The 2,659-nt window shown below is 38.7% G+C and overlaps 1 annotated feature.

Moving 5' to 3' along the window:
• Positions 2,139-2,208: an enhancer, noted in NCBI's record as "active region_22096". NCBI's record gives its function as "activates an Ori minimal core promoter by ATAC-STARR-seq in GM12878 lymphoblastoid cells {active_cell/tissue: GM12878}" and the evidence as "EXISTENCE:reporter gene assay evidence [ECO:0000049][PMID:35858748]".

Genomic DNA, 2,659 nt, shown 5'->3' with positions numbered 1-2,659 from the left:
TAAATGGAACCCAAATAAAGAAAGCCATTAATTATTAGGCCTAAGTGTACATAAATATAGCTTAGGCCCAGTCTGTGTGTCATTTATAGCTTAAGAAAGAGAATAGTCTAATTCTGGAAGTATAAAATCTTCTTCAGGTACTAAACTGAAATTCTGCAGTGGTTACAGTTGTTTGTTGTTGTTACTGGCTTTTTTTGTTGGTTTGTTTAGTTTGTGTAGTATCATTTTATCCACTGCTGAGTCACACAAAAGAGGTAAACAGTTATCTTGGATTGCAAAATATTACTTTCCTATCAAAATGCATTATAACTTTAGGTCTCGGGAGCTAACACAAATAACACATGTCCTTAATTTTTACATGGGCTTTGTTTTATTTAATAAAATGACTCATTTAATGGTGCCCATGAGCAGGTTCTTGTCTAGACCTCAGCAGCCTGCTGATAGTCAAAGTCCTAAATAATCCTTTAGTGATCTGTAGCTAGGCATCAAAGGAGTGGTTTGTCATTGTTCTACTTCCACCCATTACAGGATCAGGGGTTCAGCGAGAAGAGAGATTCCCAAGAAGCCCCTCAAACTGCTGCCATCCATCACATTCCACATGTTCTCTTAGTTTCCCATTGGCACTTACCCATTCCCAATCAGGCTGGGATTCAAGTACCTGGTGCTGCCCACAGCGTTTGTCTGTTTCTGCTATTGTTGACTCTTCCTACTGTTTACTTCAGAGAAAGCCATACTCCTGAGAAGAGTCTGGGATTCTTAGACTGTGATAGAGCCTCATATTTAACATTATCGACCCAGAAAAGCCACTTGTTTCCCTTTACTTTTGCCACTTTAAAAATCCTTACCAGGGGGTTAAACTTCCTTAATGGAGTGTCACACTGAATAGCAGGGGTCAGCTTGTCAATTCTCTCCTTTGGCTCCTAGCACCACGCAGTGGCAGGGAATGGATTCAAATCTCCCTTTTCCTCCTTCAGCAAGCAGCAGCATTCTCATTCATCTTCCTCCTATTGAAAACTCAGGTCCTCATTCCCTGCCTCACCAGTCGCTTGTGGCAGAATTTGACTAGATTCCACTCAAATGTTGTGATTTTATTTCACATGACATTTTCTATACGCCTGCTTATCTTCTTCCCTTTCCAGAAAGGGCCATAATATATTTATGAGGTTTTGCATTTTAAAAAAATTAACATTATAGAACCATCAAAGCTGTGCTGACATTTTAATAACATCATATAATATATTTAGAATAGCATGCTACTTTTGGAATATTTTCTTATTTTGCCTGTCATCTCGTAGAAGTGTTTATGATGCATACAAGATTGAAAGAAAATTGCTTTTTTGCTACTTGGCATCATGTACTTTATTTCTACCATTGCTGAGTTATTATAGAACTAAGTCAATTATGTTTCCTAATATGCACTTCACATTTCCCATCCTCAGCCACATTGCAAATGGGTAGGCACCATAGCATGTGCCATATCTCTATTGATGCGGATTGTGAATCTATAGTCTTTCAACAGATGCTTTGCCAGATGACTGAAACTGGCATAGACTCTGTTGACTGATTGCTAATTTTCTTTTGAGGCAAGGATTCTGAAGTAACAAAACTACCAGGAGAAAGAACACTGATGTAACTTCATTAGGCAAGTTGACAAAATAGCAGTTGATCTGTGTGTTCTGTTTATACACATGGCTAAATCAGTGCTTCATTTCCCCCCCACCGCCCCCATGGAAATAAATTCATCCAAGGTGGCTAACTGTATGATAAATATAAGGTAAAGAAGGCTGAGTAGTTATCTGATCAAATTTAGGCAAACAATTTAGTACATATAGTTTGCACAGTATAAGCTTTTATGTCATAAAAATTGGGGATTAAGTCCTGGATATGCCACTTAGTAGCTTCATGTTCTGAAAGCAAGTTATTTAAATTTTGAAGTGTTTTCCTCATCTGTAAAGTGGAAGATAATTCCGCCAATGTTACAGTATTATGTTATTGTATAATATAGGAGTTAAATGCTTAATACCCTGTAATTATAGGGCTTTGTACAGTCCCTTGGCAAGTGCTAATTAGTGGTAGTGAGGGAAGAGAGAGACCCTCTCATATTGTTTTATATTGTTTTATACTCAGTACCTGTTTTAAGAAAAAAACAAGGAAGTGAAATCAAAGACAGGCAGCCCGGCGCCAGGCCTGAAACCAGGCCTGGGCCTGCCTGGCCTAAACCTAGTAGTTAAAAATCAACCATAGCTTAGAAACTGATGTTATTCATAGATTCCAGACATCGTATGGAAGAACATTGTGAAACTCCCTGCCCTGTTCTGTTTCACTCTGACTACCAGTGCATGAAACCCCTGTTACGTATCCCCTAGATTGCTCAATTAATCACGACCCTTTCATGTGAAATCTTTAGTGTTGTGAGCCCTTAAAAGGGACAGAAATTGTGCACTTGAGGAGCTTGGATTTTAAGGCAGTAGCTTGCCGATGCTCCCAGCTGAATAAAGCCCTTCCTTCTACAACTTGGTGTCTGAGAGGTTTTGTCTGCGGCTCGTCCTGCTACAGTAGGTGGTAGTATTTAGTTTGATAATCCAGGCTGCAGGTTTTCATATAACAGGAGACCTCAGTTTATGAGTATATATACATCATAAAATTGAAACTAATATTA

This window comes from Homo sapiens, chromosome 4 (assembly GCF_000001405.40).
Source record: "Homo sapiens chromosome 4, GRCh38.p14 Primary Assembly".
Taxonomy (NCBI): Eukaryota; Metazoa; Chordata; class Mammalia; order Primates; family Hominidae; genus Homo; species Homo sapiens.
The sequence above is the reverse complement of the archived record's forward strand: the minus strand, read 5'-3'. Positions and strand labels throughout refer to the sequence as shown.